Genomic DNA, 18,436 nt, shown 5'->3' with positions numbered 1-18,436 from the left:
TTCTACAACTGATGAAAGCATGCACTCAGAAAGATAAAATATTGTATACAGGAAACAAGTCAAGGTGCTATCTTTTAAAAGGGGGGCACAGAAAACAAGAGAGAGCTCTTGGAAATTAAAAATATGACAGCAAAAATTAAAAATTCAATAAATAGGCTGGAAGGTAAAGTTGAGTCAATTTCTCAGAAAGTAAAAGAAAAAAGAAGAGTTGGAAAATAGGAGAGAAAATTAGAGAATCAACTGAGAAGAGCCACATCCCATTTTAAAGTTCCAGAAAAAGCAAGCAAAAAGTGCTCATAACAAGGATGTAAAAACACTCATATTATTGTGAAATTTCAGAACACCAGTGAGTACAGTTGTCTGCCTATTTCATTCCCCTCCAATTCATTCCCCTCCCTTCATCTGCTTTGCTCTGCCCTATATCATATGAAAATTACTCCTCCAGGTCCCTTTCCCTGTCAGCTGACATCTAGTTGGTTCAGCCAAGAAGAAGCACTGGTGGGAGACTAGCACCAGAAAGAAGAAAAAAGCCAGGATATTTCTCCCACTTTCCCTTTGCCTCGGGCAGCATCTCTAGAAGAACCTGCATTTATCCTTTTATCTCCCAGGGCAACCCTACCTTTGGAGTCTTAGGAAAACTACCTCTTCCTTGGTCCTTCCAGCTCTACAGGTGGTAATGCTTTCTGCTGTTGCTAATCTCTGGCTTGCATTATTCTTGCATTTGGCATCTCAGTTCTTTCTACATCTTAAAGGTAATTCCTCATATTAAATCCCTGTTGAATCACCTGGCATAGGCTCTATTTTCCTGACTAGATCCTTACTGATACAATCAACAATACAGAGAAAATACTAAAAGCTTCTAGAGATGGAGAAAAAGAAAGCATGAAAAATATAAATAATCAGAATGGTAACACCAAAAGCTACAAAACAGCAGAGTAATAGCATCAAAATTTTGAGGAAAATTAGTATTCAAAGAAAATTTTATACCCAGCAAACTGTCAATTAAATGTAAGACTAAAACAAAATGTTTTCTGATACTCAAAGTCTCAAAAGATTTTCCTGCCGGGCATGATGGCTCATACCTGTAATCCCAGAACTGTGGGAGGCTGAGGTAGGAGGATTGCTTGAGCACAGCAATTCAAGACCAGCTTGGGCAACATGATGAAACCCTGTCTCTACTAAAAATACGAAAATAAGCTGGGCATGGAAGCACGCCTATAGTCCTAGCTACACAGGAGGTTGAGGTGGAAGGATCTATTAAGCACAGGAGGTGGAGGTTGCAGTGAGCTGAGATGGCACCACTGCACTCCAGCCTGGGTGACAGAGTGAGACCCCATCTCAAAAAAAAAAAAAAAATGCATGCCTCCTTTCTTCTTCAAAACCACGGGGAAATTTAAGAAAAAAGGAGATCTGATACCTGAGAAAAGAGATATAAGAGAGAACTGAAGGACATTTCCAGGTGGTATTGGAGAAATAAATTGCTCTAGATTAGAGCAGGAAGATAAAGGGTTTTAAAAAAATCAGCATTATCTAAAATGTTTGGCAGAGAAAGTGAAAATGAAACAGTAAGAACTACATAGGCACAGAAGCAAATAAAAAACTAAGGCAATTAGTAAGGCCAGAGAAACAAAAAGCTATACTGGAAAGGATATGTAATTGTAGAATACTATATGGTTCTACTATAAATATTTATATGGTCATAATAATAAAAGCTCTGAATTTTTTTAGCTTTTCTTCACATTTTATTTTATGAATGTATTTTTAACCAGAAACTATGTTATAAAGTATTAGGAAGGTAGAAGGAAAAGGAAGAACTGGCAGAGAAAGAGTACATAAAAGAGCTAGCTAAATCTTTTTCCACTTTAGGAAGTCAAGAGATAATATCAAAATTTTTACTATCAAAAACAGCAATATGGATAATCAATTTTAGAAATGTGGAGAGAAACAGCAGAAAAGCAGATAAAACATTAATGATGATTGTCTCTAGGGAAATGGGAGTTAGAAGTAGAGAATGGCAGAAAAGAAGATTCATGTTTATCTATAACTCTTTAGTACTATGAATGTATTTTTAATTCATTATATTGGGCCCTTTCAATCTAGAAAGTTGTGTATTATTTATCATTTAATTTGTTGTGTATCATTTAATTCATTATATTGGGCCCTTTCGATCTAGAAAGTTGTGTATTATTTTGACTTAAACAACAACAATATGAGGGAAGGAATGTGAACTTCACCCAAAGACAGAACCAACTGTTAAAGGGACAGTCAGTGAATGGGTCTCAAAAGTGCCAAACACAAATCAGGAGAGTGGGTCAAGTCAAAAGTGAAATTTACAGGCCAGAAAAGCCAAATAAGCTGACTGAGAGGAAAATCTGTCTCCCACACTGACTCAGTCTAACATGAGAAATAGTAGCAGGGACAAATTTAAGTCTACTCTTAAAAGCATAATGCAAAAACACTGGGAATTGAAAAGAGTGAACTGTCTCCCTAGTCCAGAATGAAAAAATGAATATATCTTTCATTTCAGAAATAAAACTAATGGTTTTTATCATGTAAGATAAGGTAGCATTTAAGCATTTAGGTCTTTGTTCAGTTTCTTCCAAGGGAGTGATTTTTCAGTGCAACCTGACATACACGATGTTGTCGTACCCTATCCATGTGAATAAACAGGGTTCAGGACAGTAACTGGGTGAATGGAATACTGACAAGCCATGGTCTAATTCAATAATTTTCTACTTTTTGCTACACTGACCCCCATTAAGAATCAGATGATGGATGCTGACCCTTCTCTCCAAAAGTATACACACGTGCACTTACACACAACATTTTGTACATAATTATAAAGTGTTAACACAGCCTAGGTCAAGAAAACATCCACCTAACGAGCTCATGAAAACATGAATGAATTTGAAAGGTACCTCTTACTAAAGAACAAAGTGAACTCACTGTTTAATTTCGATTCTCTGGAAACATGGATATTTTCACACATATGCCACATGTGATCTGCTACAAAATAAACTGTCCAGACTCCTGTGATTATCACCAGCGTGTCAGAGTGCTTTACACTAAGGTATATGTTGTTTTTTGTGCATGCTGGCATAAGAATGCAGCTCTCATGGGCCCCCAGAGCTCACAGTCATGGATATTTATGTACCTGCTCAAGTATTTTTAGGGGGTGAGGATCCCACCCCAAATGGGACCACTCATTTTCCAGGATCAGACTCACATTCATATTTCTGGAGCACTCAATAAACAGCATCTGATTATCAAAGGAATGATGGTTTATACTTCAGAAAAAAATAGGAAAACCAGGTCACTGAGGATGAAGAGGAGATGAAGTCCTAGCCAGACTTTGCCAAGTGTCTGAAAGAGGAAAGAGAAATCGGTATCTTACAAGTGTGTATTTGGGCAGGTGGGGTGCAGGGAAAGGAAGGAAATACTTCAGCCTGTGTTGCTGCCAGGCTCACGTGTAGAGCCTGAGACACATAATCTTCAGGTCATGGGTTTGCCCCCTTATGGGGTACATTGTTGTTAAAAGGGTCAGACTGATGTAGTGGAAAAAGAAAGTCACTGACCCAGGCAGGAGTCAGGGGATGCAACTAATCTTGGCTTGGCCACCACACAGTGCATTCTAAAACCAAATACCAGTGCTCTGGAATTGGAACTGCTCATGGGCAGAGGCCAAGCACCACCATTAAGATGCCCTTGAGTGAGGGCCACTGTACATATGGGCAACCCAATAGAAACCACCAGAAAAGGCCAGGCGGGTACTTGGCAAAAACTTGTCTGAGCCATACCTAGAGCCCCACTGACAGTTGAGAGCCTCTGCAGTAGGGCTTTACTTCTCACTTTAGATTTCAGGGGACCTCCAGATGGTCCTCAGAACCCCCACTGTGAAACCCCATTACTATCCCCACACTATTTCCCATGGTATAATTGAAACTGAATACTTCGCTTTGTGTACCCAATAAGGTCTAAGCATAAGACTCCACCACCAGCCAACATCACTGTACTGCCTGCAATATACTAGTTACATTTGGAAAGGCCACCCCACCTTTCTCAGCCTCAGTTTCCACCACTGTAGAGGAAGTGTGTTTGATTTGACGTACTTTCTATTCAATAATAACAAAAATAATAACCATAATAATAATAGGTACTTTGGCCATTTCCTATGTGCCATGTACACAGTAGGGGAATGCAAGAGTGGGCAGAAACAAGAGTAGTTCCTGCTTTTGTAGAGTTTACAGTAGAAGAGACAAAGGTTAATCAGAAAATCCCACACATCGGTGTGTAATTACAACCCAAGAGGTGTGCTGCGATGCAGAGGAACCGAGCACCATGACATAGTCTGGGGTGTCAGGAAAGACTGTCCTGAGGAAGTGATGTTTGAGTTACAATCTGAAGGATGAGTAAGAGTACTGCATGCGGTAGGCACAAAAGAGTGTCATATGTATCAGCCTGGAATACAAGAAACAAAAGTAAGAGAAATGATAGCTACCATCCGATGAATGCTTACCAAGTATTCATCACGGTAAGTATTCATCATTGGTAAGCACCGATGAATGCTTACCATCCAATGAATGCCTGGCATTGTGGTGAATATTATTTTTATACAATTCTTGAGTTATTTGAACAACTTTTTCAGTCAAAAATTGTTATTCCCATTTAATAGCCAGTAAACTAACGAACTAAGTCTCAGAAAGGTGCCCAAGATAAGAATTGTAAGAGGCAGCCAGGTCTATGAAATCCCAAGCCTGCGTATTTAACCACTGGGCTGCACTGCCTCCAGTGGTGGTCACTGAGCCTCATTAAAACATGATGCAGGCTGGGCGAGATGGCTCACGCCTGTAATCCCAGCACTTTGGGAGGCTGAGGCAGGCAGATGACAAGGTCAAGAGATCGAGACCATCTTGGCCAACATAGTGAAACCCCATCTCTACTAAAAATACAAAAATTAGCCAGGCGTGGCGGCACGTGCCTGTAATCTCAGCTACTTGGGAGGCTGAGGCAGGAGAATCACCTGAACCCGGGAGGCAGGGGTTGCAGTGAGCCAGGATTATGCCACTGCATTCCAGCCTGGCGACAGAGCAAGACTCTGTCTCAAAAAAAAAAAAAAAAAAAAAAAATGCATCAGAATGGAATAGATTTCCCCTTGGTTCACTAGTAAAAGAACAAATGCATTTTTTTAATATTATAGTACCCATAGGAATAGTGGGGACACTGTCATAAGATACATGTACTAATAACTAGACAATTATAGCATATGCAACACTTACAGCCCCAGTGATAGACTAGCCCTAAACAACCCTATTTTCTATCACACCACACACATGTAGCACCCAAGCTGAGGGAAACAGGAGTGAACACTGGACTCAGGGAAGCTAATTTACAGGCTGCTAATAGCATTTGAGACAACCCAGCCTGAAAATCTCCACCTAGGCAGGCATGTGTAGGTTCAACCATAAGTATATTCTCCAAAATATGAACTGGGAAATAGAACGATTCAGTCTTGAGGTTGAGATGGTCCTGAGTTATTCTAGGAGTGCAGAAATGGTTACAATCAGAAACATCTACTAATGCAACTCACATCACAACTTTATAACAGAATAAAGAAAAACTGAGTATCACAATATGTGTAAGAATACGCATTTGATAAAATTCAAACACTCAAATCTACACAGAATAAAATTGCATAGAACTTAATACACACACACACACACATACAAAGAGTATAGGTAAAACTGGGAAATCTGAGCATAATGACTGCATTGCATCCGTGTCAATATCCTAGTTGTGATCTTATAATTTTCCAAAATGTTACCATTGCGGGAAACTGGGAAACGTATACAAGGAATCTCTCTGTATTGCATCTTAAAACTGCATGTAAGTGTGCAATTACCTCTACTAAAAAGTCAATTAAAAAGAGAGAGGGCAAGAGATGGATAGAGGAGAGAAGAGATCAATTTTACCAAAACAAAATGGCATTAATCCATCAAAATTTGGTAAATTATAAATATGAAACATTAATTTTACTAAAAACATCATTGTTACTCTATCCTCTCAATGCTTCAGTATAGTCTGTAAATATTTTAAAGTTTCAAATTTTTCATTTTCAGAAGACCATAACCTTTTTAAAGATGCTGACAACATGGTAATACGATGAATGCAATACTAACATATAAGAAATAGAGTCAGTGGTATCATACAATACATAACGCCTAAAGTAAAAAAATCTATGTCCAAAGATTTTCCTTAACCTACATTATACAAACCTTGATGCTTGATGTGCTATTTTTGTTTCAGTTATCGTATTAGAAGGAATAATTTTGCCAAAGAAAAAAACTTCACTAACAAGAGAGAAAAGGGAACTGCCACAGTCTAATAAAGAGTGTCCCCCGAACCCCACAGCAAACATCATGCTTAAGTGGTGATGTGAACAGATATGAATTCTGTTATATGCTCTTTACATTAAAGTTAAGATGCCCACTATCACTGCTTCTGTTTAATACATATTGGGATCCCACCCAAGGCCATTTAAAGTTTTAATTTAATTAATTATACTTAATTTTAATTCAATATATTTAATACTAAAATTCAATTAAGCATACATATACTTAATTATATTTTTAAAAAATTACCTTATTTACTTATTTTTTTAGAGGTGAGGTCTTGATATGTTATCCAGTCTGGGCTCAAAGTCCTGGACTTAAGCAATTCTCCCACCTCAGCTTCCCAAGTACCTGGGATTACAGGCGTGTACCACTGTGCCCAGCTTCTTAAGTACACTTTCAATTAAGCATACTTAAAAGTAGAAGAATTTAAAAGAAACAAAACTGTCACTATTCCTAGGTCATGTGATTCTTTGGAAAATGCATGGTAAATTTTAGAACAAATGAGAGAGTCCACCAAAGTCACTGAATTCAAGACGGATAGCAGAGAACGAAGAGCTCATGATGGGCATCATGAACTGGAGTTCTAAGTAAGCAGATGAGACAACTCATTAGCACAAATAAGAGAAGCAAAAAGACTGAGTCTAGAGAGAAGACCCCAGACTCCTACAGGCTCCCGCACCACACTAGATCAAAGACTAGTCTCTGCGAACCCAGCCACACCAGGTGCTGGCTCTTTGGCTCCCATAGTTCCTTCCCATGATACTTACCAGGATCACTCGTCTAACCTAACTTGATAAACATCTGCAGCTGGTGTTCACAACAGCCCAACTCAGCCAGGCGTGGTGGTGTGCACCTGTAATCCCACCTACTCCAGAGTCGAAGGCAGGAGGATCCCTTGAGCCCAGGAGCAGCCAGAGCAACACAGGGAGGCCTCATCTCAAAAAAAAAAAGAAAAAGCCCCACTAAAACCTACATACATACAAAAGATGGACACATCTTCAGAACTAAAATAAGTTATTATAGTTAGCTCTAACTTCTACTTAAAATTCTAATTTTTATTTATTTATAAAGTCAGTTTTAATAGGCCCACCATCAGAGGGAAGCAGTATGGTAATCTAGGGCTGCAAATAATCTCTAAAGTGCTCTTATCAGGTTTGGAATGTACTATAAATCTTTGTAGTAGGTATACCTTTCCAGTGAGATTTTGCTTAGACTACCATTAAAATAAGATTTAATATTATGAACACAGAATAACAGATAATCAAGAAGAATTACCCAGTAGTGGGATGCCAACTTTTTCTTTGAGACAGGGTCTTACTCTGCCACCCAGGCTGGAGCACAGTGGTGCAATCACGGATCACTGCAGCCTTGAGCTCCCTGGGTTCAGGTGATCCTCCTACCTCAGCTTCTCAAGTAGCTGGGACTACAAGTGCATGCCACCATGCCTGGCTAATTTTTGTATTTTTTGTAGAGATGAGGTTTTACCATGTTGCCCAAGCTGGTCTTCAACTCCTGAGCTCAAGCAATTGCCTGCCTCAGGCTCCCAAAGTGCTGGGATTACAGACGTCAGCCACCACTCCTGGCTGGGATACTAACTTTTGCCCAGTGAGAGGAAACCAGACAACATGGCACCACTGTTGAGTCTTTAAACCATAAAATTAATATGAACCTAATAAAGTAAAACAATATACAGTGGCATATGTAAAAGAGTTTGATGTTTTCAATAATGACCCAGGCTACATTTAGCAGCACTACTGAAGGAAGTTCAGTACCCTTTGTGTTCTTTCATATTTCTGAGACAAAGGATTTGGATGATGACAACACTATCACATGTTTCCTTAAACGTAGGCTCTGTTGCAGAAACCCTACTTCTTTCATAATTCAGAACACGCTGTCCAATACGGTAGCCACTAGTCATGTGTGGCCCATTGAGCACTCGAACAAGGCCTCTGCACACTGTAAGTGTAAAATCACACTGGATTTCCAAGACATAGTACAAGAAATACATTAAAATCTCATTAATAATTTTTAATTGATTAAATGTTGAAATATGTTTATATTGTGTTAATTGGAATATATTATTAAAATTAACTTCACCTGGGGTTTTTTTTTTCACTTTTTCAAATATGTCAACTAGAAAATTTTAAATTCTATATGTGGCTCACTTTTTTGGGTCACATTGTATAACTACCAGACAGCACTGATTTAAAAAGTCAAAAGGTATTTTAAATGATGTGAATATAGTATATGTAACATTTAAAACATTAATAAAATGTTTATAAGAACCTTTGTATGTCATTTGATAACAAATTCCTATAAAGACAGGTATAATCTTGCAACAATGGTACAAAAGAGGTACAGTTTATTTTTTTCTAACTTTCTGACAGGGATAGCGTTAAATGCTTCAGGTAAATAATCCAAAATCCTCCCAACAGGAAAAAGTAATTTGAATCGGGGAAACTGAGCAATTTTTCCAAGATCCCACAGCTCAGAAGTGCTAGATCTAGACTCAGAAGGCAGCTCTGAGGCCAATGCCAGTACTCTGTGGTACCTCAAGTAGAGAAACTAGGAGAAATCCTGTTTGGAAGTGGCCATCTCTTATGAAGTTGATCATTATCCAACTTGGGCAGAGACTATCCAGGCCATATGCCTATCATTAAGAAGGTGCTTCTAATTAGCTGGGCATGGTGGTGTGTACCTTTGGTACCAGCTACTCAGGGGGCTGAACTTGGAGGATCGCTTGAGCCCAGGAGTTTGAGGCTGCAGTGAGCCGTGATCGCGCCACTGCACTCCAACCTGGGAGACAGAGCAAAATGTTGACTCAAAAAAAAGAAGAGGAGGAAGAAGGTGCTCCTTTTCAATTTGGGATGCTGTAGAGTGATTAGTTTTGAAGACCAGCACACCTACTCAACTAGCCCAAGGTGCCCATCACTCATCCTGTTCTAAGAAAGGATTTACAGGAGTGGCATGTTGGCCATGTAGCAAAGCATGTCAGAGGCAGTCAAAACAATGATGCCAAATGAGGTGTGGTCAGCTGCCTGCGGTGCCAGCTCTTAGATGAATCCCTCTGTTTAATCCTCAGTCTGAAATGAGGTTCTGACTCTTGTCCACTCTTGAAATGCACTAGTAACAACAGCACTAATGGAATGTGAAGCCCTACAATATGTGAGTAGGAAGCAACTTACAGCAGAAAGAGGCAACAACACCATCCACAAGCAGACTAGCCAGAACGCTAAGCCAGGCTGCCAAAAGAAAATGTATCCTAAAACCCCAAATATCAGCTGCCACCAAGCTTTGAAAAAATTAGGCATGCAAATCTTTGGCACCCCTTCATCCTCCTTCTCCCCCAAAACCCTCTTAGTCAAATACGTGATGGAAGTCTACAGACATTCTACTCAGCACCACCACAAGTGCCCATGAAAAAGCAATTGTCTGTCCTTCCTGCAGCAGCTGAAAAAGTGTAAGTGAAGGGTAGAGATGATAGTGGGTATACTGAGGAGGGAAGGAGGAAAACCACCCAGAAAGGAAAAAAAAAAAACACACACACACACACACAGAAGGCAACAGTGACATTCAGACCTGAACCTAGGAATTTTTGAATGGCTCAGAATGGGACACTCTGTCATCTCTGATTTAATTAGAAGACAGTTTTCAGGATGCTAAAGGTCTAGGCTCATAATCAGGCACTTACGTAATCCTCCATATTGAGCCCTTGTTTCTCAACTGAACTTTTCACCTCCATGGAAAACTTCTCAAACTCAGGTTTCACTGTCCTCAGTAGAGTGACTGTCTGGAGGGACGAGTATGCTTGCTTAGCTTCAAAGTCGTGTTTGTCTCCTCTCTTCCATGAGCCATCTCCTATGGAAGAAATAAAAATATTTATAATTCCAAGCCAGCCACCATAAAGAGGCCATTCTCCCTTCACAACTGTGAGGCGCCCCCGCATGTTACTTTTGGCAACCAGGAAGAGAAGTATTGTCATAGTTTTGCACTTAGGTATGATGGGACAACGTCAAGACCATTAAAGGAGAAGAAGGCCCTTTGGACATGTGTTCCTTTGAAATGTGAGCGAGAAAGAAGAGTACTGTTGAGGTAATTGCCTTGTAATAACCATGTAACTGCAATTTTCAGCCCTGCCCCACCCCCAAAATTGCAGCACTGTAAGAGAAAGAACTCAGTTTTTATTCCTTGCCATTCATACTTCTTTTTTAATACCTACAATCAACTGTGGAGGTGAATCAAGTGGCTAGTGTGGTATAATAAACCTGATGTTATGTGTGTGTGGGACGGCAGGTCACAGTGACGCATGACAATGGATATGCACAACTATTAGACAGTTAGTGATGTTACTCATAAGTGGGAGTTGAACAATGAGAACACATAGACACAGGGAGGGGAACATCACACACCAGGGCCTATCAGGGGGTGGGGGGCAGGGGAAGGGATAGCATTAGGAGAAATATCTAATGTAGATGACGGGTTGATGGGTGCAGCAAACCACCATGGCATGTGTATACCTATGTAACAAACCTGCACATTCTGTACATATATCCCAGAACTTAAAGTATAATTTAAAAAAAGAAAGTTAGTGCTATTAAAATAAAAGTTTGAGATTATTGATATTTCTTGAATCTTTTCAGGGTGAACAGTAGCTTAGGTGAACTCAAAGATTTGTGTCTCTCTCATGCTAGCAACATCATAGAAATTATTTATTAGACAATGTCCATTAGTGCATTAGTGGTAATGAGATAAAAATTGCTAACATTTATTAAGCACATATATTATAATAATAATAATAATAAAAGCTCTATTTGTTGAGCACTTTATATGCGTAAAAACATTTACTCCTCAGAAGACCCCGTGATATGGGTACTATGAGCCTCTTTATTTTACAGATAAGAAAACTGATGCATTGAGAAGCTAGGTATCCCAGTGTTTCACAGGTCTCTCTTTTACAAAAGCAAAAAATTACATGAATAAGAATAATTATTTTTCTCTTCGTTATTTTATTTTCAAGAAAACGTGGCTTACAGGGCCCCAAAAGGCAAGGTGGACCTCTAACTTTTGACAATGAGCTATTTTTTCTACGAAGTATTGTTATGATTCCTGGAGAGCTCTGAAAATACAAGGAACTCCACCTGCTGGAGTCCAGTGCCAAAGTCATTTGTTTACCCCAAGCCCCCTCATCCTTGGTAGAGGCCTTGAACCCAACAGCTAAGCAGTGAGAATGTCTCTGGGATATACGGCCAGGACTTTGTGGCACTCACTCTACTCTTCCTGAAGAAGTTTAACAAAGACCTGGTGGCTTTGGAATTTCTATGACAGTGTGAATCAGACAAACATCTATGAACTATGCAAGGTCCTGAGATTGGCAGGGTGAGCATTGTAAATACAGTCTCCACCACATTCAAGAGAGAGGCTGAGGGTGTGACATGTAAACAGTTGAAGTTATCACAGGTAGGACCACAGCTTACTATGGGGGGTACAAAGAAACAACACAGAGTAGAGAGGAAGATGCAATGAGCTCTAACCCGGGGAAGGCTGCATGTGAGGAAGAGGCATTAGAAAGGTCCTAACTGTGTGAACACGATTTTAATAGGAGGGGAGGAGGGTGGAAGGCATGCTTGGCTGAGCCTACATCACAGCACAGGCAAAGGTGCAAATGTGCCTGACAGCCAGGAGGCAGCTGGGCACTTAGTCTAGAGCCCGAGAAAAGGCAGAGACAAAGAAAATGTTTGCAGAGGCATCTGTATAATCATAATCCTAATAATAGCAACCATTTATTAATTGCTTACATGTGCCAGGGAGCTGTTAAAAGACAAATAAGACACAGCTGAGGACAGAATTCATTAGGAACTAAATCTGTGCTCAATGAGCATAAGATTAAATTTCAGGCCACCGAGCAAAACTTGACAAAGTCCTCCTCCTCTCCCACGAAACCTCCCAGACACTGAGGAGGCCACAGTGTGAGCAGAGCCATACCCCTGCTCGGGCCAGTGAGCCACCAGGCAGGCAAAAACCAGCTGGATGCTCCATCACCAAGATACAGCATGGCCTTTGTTAAGGGGCCAAGTCCATTGCCAGGAAGACCCCAAATTCTAAGAATGCTCAGGACATCTTTGTCCAATGGAGGAGCCCATTGCTTGCAGGCATGCAATAAATAGTTATTGATTCATTTTTAATTGACTCAAAGTATCAAGACTCAGTAGAGGTGATGTCTTAGGCAAAGAGGGTGTGAGTTTCTCAGCTCTGGAAAAAAGTTCTCTCCAGGGGAAGGGAAATGCTTAACTCTACAGACTTGTATGTTATGTAATTAGAAAACACACATAGGACTAGAAACTGCAACTATCTCACGGACCGAAATGGACAAAAACTTTTTTTAATTTGCAAAGAAGTAAAATCCAATACAATAAATCTGTCTACCACAATCTAAAAGGTAACGGCTTTGGAGTTTTGTTTTCCTTTTTTTTTTCTTTTTTTTTTTTTTTTTTGAGACAGAGTGTCTCTCTGTCACCCAGGCTGGAGGGCAGTGGCATGATCTCAGCTCACTGCAACCTTTGCCTCCAGGGTTCAAGCAATTCTCCCGCCTCAGCCTCCCGAGTAGCTGGGGTTACAGACATGCGCCACCACACCCGGCTAATTTTTGTATTTTTAGTAGGGACAGGGTTTCACTATGTTGGCCAGGCTGGTTTCAAACTCCTGACCTCAAGTGATCCACCTGCCTCGGCCTCCCAAAGTGTTGGGATTACAGGCGTGAGCCACCGAGCTCAGCCTGGAGTTTTGCTTCCTAGAAAAAATGAAGGAAATAGTAGTGCTTATTAAATTTAAGCCAAGCTAAATAGGTATCTATTCCCAACCATAACTGATACTACGACTTCTTGCTTTTGTGGGCATTTCTAACTGTGGTGTGTCAGTAACATTTCCCATATCAGGGCTGTTGAGCATTAGGAAAGCAGAGGTCGGCTTGGCATGACGCCCCATCAGTGGGGACAAACTTAATGCAGTAGACAACTGGGTGCCTCTAGAGATTTATGAGCAGAACAGAAGAGTGATATGATGAGAATCAGCCTTGGGAAATAGCAGTGGATTAGGGTGGGGGAGACACCAAGCGTTCACAGCCGCAGTAATCCAGGCAAGAGGTTAGGGAAGGTTATATGTGGGAAGTCACACCAAAAAAGCTAAAAATGGTTCTTGGGATGTTACAATTATGAGCAAGTTTTCTTTTCCTTTTTTTTTTTTTTTGGTATTTTTCTGAATATAGTAAATTTTCAACAATAAGCATTGACTTTTATTATAAAAAAAAGAGATAGAGCCCTTGAGAACAAAGGCAGAGCACTGTGCGTGAGGAATCTCAAGACTGTACAACAGTAAGGGAGTGAGGGACAACACAGAGGGAGGCATGTCACAGATGACGCCAAAGAGAAAAGGAAAACAGGTTAACAGTAAAGAAGCAGCAGAGCCAGATGGAGGAGGAGGGGTTAGAAGGACATGGAAATGATTATTTCAGTTAGGGGTATGGTAAATCCAAGGCGACTGCAGAATGCCCAAGTGACCACCAGGCTAGAGGTGGAAATGCTACTCCGAAGCCAAAAAGAGGAGTGAGGACTAGAGACCGTGCTGGGTGTCATTTCCACACGGCTCCAAATTAGAAACCAGGGGCTGCCTCGCCAGACATGAAATACAGTGCAGAAAGCAGAGGGAGAAGGGCAGAGCACAGACACTTTGGGGGGATGCTATTTTTAGTGGGCAAGAGGAGTAAGAGGAAACAGAGAGGAGCTAACAGAGAACCAGAAGAATGCTGTGTCACCAAAGCTAAGAGCACAGGGTTACCAGAAAGGGATGGATGGCAACAAGATCGAATGCTCTAGAGCGGTGCTGTCTCACAGAGGAGCCACTAGCCACATGTGTGACTATTTAAATGTAATTAAAATTAAAAATTCAGCTCTTCAGTCACACTTGTCATATTTAAAGTGCTCAATGCCACATGTGGCTAGTGGCTACCACATTGGGCTGCACAGACTAGAACATAGCCATCATTGCAGAAAGTTCCATTGGGTGGCACAGCTTTGGAGGCATGAAGCATGGTCTTAGGTAAGGCTAATGGATTTGGTAATGAGAAGCTCACTGGTGACCTTGAGGAAAGCACTTGCAGGGGAGTGGTGGATTCTAATGCTGTATTGAACACCCAAGCTTGCACTGGGTACAGAATATTTATGAAAGAGGAAGGTAGTCTGCTCAGCACCAAGCCCTGTGCCCAGCGATCCTGTGGTGAAGAGCTGCAGCCAATAAGGGGTACCCATGTTGGGGTAACTGTGCCATCCTGTAGTTCCCAGTACTTACCAAGGACCTAGCACATAGTAAATTTTCAATATATATCACCTGAATGAGTGGCTGAGACATCACAGAATGTGTCCAAAAAATGAATGCTAAGCATTCACCTGGCCTGGCCCCACAGTACTGTGGCTCTTCAGCTCTGGTGGTCATTTAAGGAGAGAAAATATCTGCCTTCCTTGGCTTACCCCCACCCTCTCCAAACGACCCACTGTCACATGCTTGCCATGGCTAGGCTGGTCCAATTACACCCATTGTTAATAACAGCACCCCTTAATGGGGGATACCACTGTGCACAGCTCCATATGGCTGTTCGACCTGCAGTATTTCTTTCTTTAATTCTCCTAACAACTCTTTGAAAAAGATTTAAGTATAATCCCTATTTTACAGATGAGGAAATTGAGGCTCAAGGAGATTAACATGCCCCAAGTCGTTTAGCTAATAAATGATAGGAACAATATCCAAATGCAAGCCAGACTCCAGATACCAACACCCCACCTAACCTACATTCATTTCATCAGAGTTTGGGTGTTCTAAGATTTAAAACTGCATATGCGGTGATTGACAAAAACGTTAAAAACAAATGTAGAAGAGGAAAAAATATCAAAAGGGGAAGTGCCAAAAGCTGTTTAGCAGCTGTTATGATTGATGAATTATGTGAGAATTCTTTTTCTTTTTTCTATGTTCCAAATTGACTTTAATGTACATGTATCACTTTTATGGCAAAACATAATTCTAATCTCTCCCTGGTTTTTCTGTTATTTTTCCATTTTTAGCCAGTCAAATAATTTAATTTTTGCCCATCACCAATCTCTACTATACTTCTGTTCTCATCTTAATTAGTGCTCTCTGAGTTCTCAGGAAGATAGGGAAGCTCTACAATAATAGCAGTTCTAGACAGGATCGCCCAGATAAGTTACCACCTAACTCACCTTCTAAGTAGGTAATGCCAATGGACAAAAATGTCAATCGGTGCCTTTAAAAACTCTATGGGGCAATATATATTATCTTCTTTCTAGACTTTTTTAAACCTATGTTTTAAGTCTTATTTTCAATCACTTGAATTATCCCATAATATGTTACCCATTGAACTCCTGTAATCACATAATTTGGGCAAATCTGAGAATCTTTTTTTGAGTGCTCACCAAGACCAAACAATCTAGTAATTAGTAATAATGGACGCACTATCAATATGTTTTTTTTTCAATCCAACATCAAGTAAGTAGTGACTAAAATTAGATGCCTTGGCCGGGCACGGTGGCTCACGTCTGTAATCCCAGCACTTTGGGAGGCCGAGGCAGGCGGATCATCTGAGGTCAGGAGTTCGAGACCAGCCTAGCCAATATGGTGAAACCCCATCTCTACTAAAAATACAAAAATTAAGCCGGCGTGGTGGCACATGCCTGTAATCCCAGCTAGTCGGGAGGCTGAGGCAGAAGAATTGCTTGAACATAGGAGGCAGAGGTTGCAGTGAGCTGAGATCATGCCACTGCAATTCAGCCTGGGTGACAAGAGCAAAACTCTGTCTCAAAAAAATGAAATAAAATAAAATAAAATAGTAATAAATAATAAAATAAAATAGAGGTCTTTTCCTAGAACAAGCATAGGGTTTGGTGTGAAGAGGCCCAGGGAGAGGTAGATGTTGAACAACTTTTCATGAACATATATATCTGATTATTAGGGCACAAAGTTTCAAACAAGGCCCTTTACTACTGATGTATAGCAGAACCTTGGTCTAGGTCACTCTGCCCACCATGTGATTCTGTTGACTGCTTCTACCCCAAGGAAAAGGGTGCTTCAGAGTCTGTGGAAGATGGACAGTTGCCTTCCTACATCCATGCTCTCTTCTTCCTCAGTAACAGATTCCTAAATTGATGTAGGATAGCAGTGAGTCCAATTAAAAGCACACATTCCCTGATATCCCCTGTCACTAGAGCTAGTCAGTGAAATGTAAGCAGAAGTTAATGAGTGGGGCTTCCAGGAAAGCCTTTCACAGAGAACCATGTCAACCAGGAGGGTCTCTTTTTACCTGTTGTGTTGTCTCTTTGTCTTGCCTAGAATTAACACACGATCCCTGGAGCTCTAGCCACCATCTTTGATCTTGAGAATGGATTTTTTTTTTTTTTTTTTTTTTTTTTTTTTTGAGACGGAGTCTCGCTCTGTCGCCCAGGCCGGACTGCGGACTGCAGTGGCGCAATCTCGGCTCACTGCAAGCTCCGCTTCCCGGGTTCACGCCATTCTCCTGCCTCAGCCTCCCGAGTAGCTGGGACTACAGGCGCCCGCCACCGTGCCCGGCTAATTTTCTGTATTTTTAGTAGAGACGGGGTTTCACCTTGTTAGCCAGGATGGTCTCGATCTCCTGACCTCATGATCCACCCGCCTTGGCCTCCCAAAGTGCTGGGATTACAGGCGTGAGCCACCGCGCCCGGCCGAGAATGGATTTTATGCACTAAGATTGAGAGTAGCAGGAAAACAGAACCAGCTTGGACTCCTGATGACATTAGGAAGTCATCATCCCTGCCCTCAACTTCCCACCCCTGGATGTGCTTCAGGTAAGAGAATAAATCTCTACATTTGTTTAAAATCACTACAACTGGACGTCTTGGTTAGGTGCATGAAGATGCAATTCCTAATGCACCGAGGTCCTTGGGATATATTATATTAACATTGGCTAACCTGATAACAGAATGTGTGACCTTAAATCTATCTATAAACCTAACACCACAGAAAAAATGTATAAACTTAACATAATTTTTTAAGTATTAGGTATAATGGTAAAAGTAAACTAGGACTAATAAAATATAGCTAACATTTATTAAATAGTTATTCCAAGAAGTTTGCAAGGTATTTTATATACGTCACCTCATTTATTACTGAGTCTGATGCCATAAGATAAGTATTATTATTCTCATTGAAGAAACTAAGGCTTGCAGGGGAGGGCAGAGTTATGTTACTTTGCCAGGGTTAAGGATTAAGCTCTTAACCATCTCTTAACCCTTACCTCTTAGAGTTAACAGCTAGTTCATGGCAGAGCCTCTCAGGCAGAAAAACACCAAAGCACAAAGTCTGAGCAAATATGGCGTAAAAGGTAAAATATAAAGGATCTAATCAGAAACCCCAAGTATACTTTGTAAGTTGTATAAGAGCATTCTGTATAACTCTGTGTAGTAGAATTTTCAAGAAGCAGAAAAATTAAACTCATAGGAAAGGAAGTGTTAAAAAGTTGTCCAAACATCACCAGCAATAAGTCATATAGTATGGCTTCTTACGCACTGGTATTATGCAATGAGAGGGACACAACATCACGCCTGCAGTATTCTCACCAAAATACATAAACTCAATCTCATTGTGGAAAAATACCAGATAAATCCAAATTGAAAGACATTCTGCAAAATAATGGGCTCATGAAAAGTGTCAAAGTTAGAATAATCTTCCTTACATCTAAAAAAAATCTTGTTGAAATTTTTGTAAGATATTTATTTAACCTCAATGTAAGAAAAAATTGTCTTCTTTACCATGTTGAGTCTTCCAATTCATGAACAAGGTATGTCTCTCATTAATACAGATTTTTTTATTTCTTTCATTAGTGGTTTCATCAGTGTTTTGTAGTTTTCAGCAAAAAAACTTAGACATTTTTTAATTTACATTTTTTAAGTATTTCTTTTTTGACTAAATGATATTATATTGTTGATTTTGGCATCTACATGTTCATT

At 40.4% G+C, this 18,436-nt stretch overlaps 1 protein-coding gene across 6 annotated transcripts in view; it reads right to left on the bottom strand.

Moving 5' to 3' along the window:
• NPR3 (natriuretic peptide receptor 3) overlaps positions 1-18,436 on the bottom strand; it is a 100,849-nt gene that overhangs the window by 42,607 nt on the left and 39,806 nt on the right. For all 6 annotated transcript variants that reach the window (NM_001364458.2, NM_001363652.2, NM_001204376.2 and 3 more), the window contains one exon: positions 10,084-10,250. In NM_001364458.2, coding sequence (NP_001351387.1) covers positions 10,084-10,250 — 167 coding nt within the window. The remainder of the gene's footprint in view (positions 1-10,083; positions 10,251-18,436) is intronic.

This window comes from Homo sapiens, chromosome 5 (assembly GCF_000001405.40).
Source record: "Homo sapiens chromosome 5, GRCh38.p14 Primary Assembly".
NCBI lineage: Eukaryota > Metazoa > Chordata > Mammalia > Primates > Hominidae > Homo > Homo sapiens.
The sequence above is the reverse complement of the archived record's forward strand: the minus strand, read 5'-3'. Positions and strand labels throughout refer to the sequence as shown.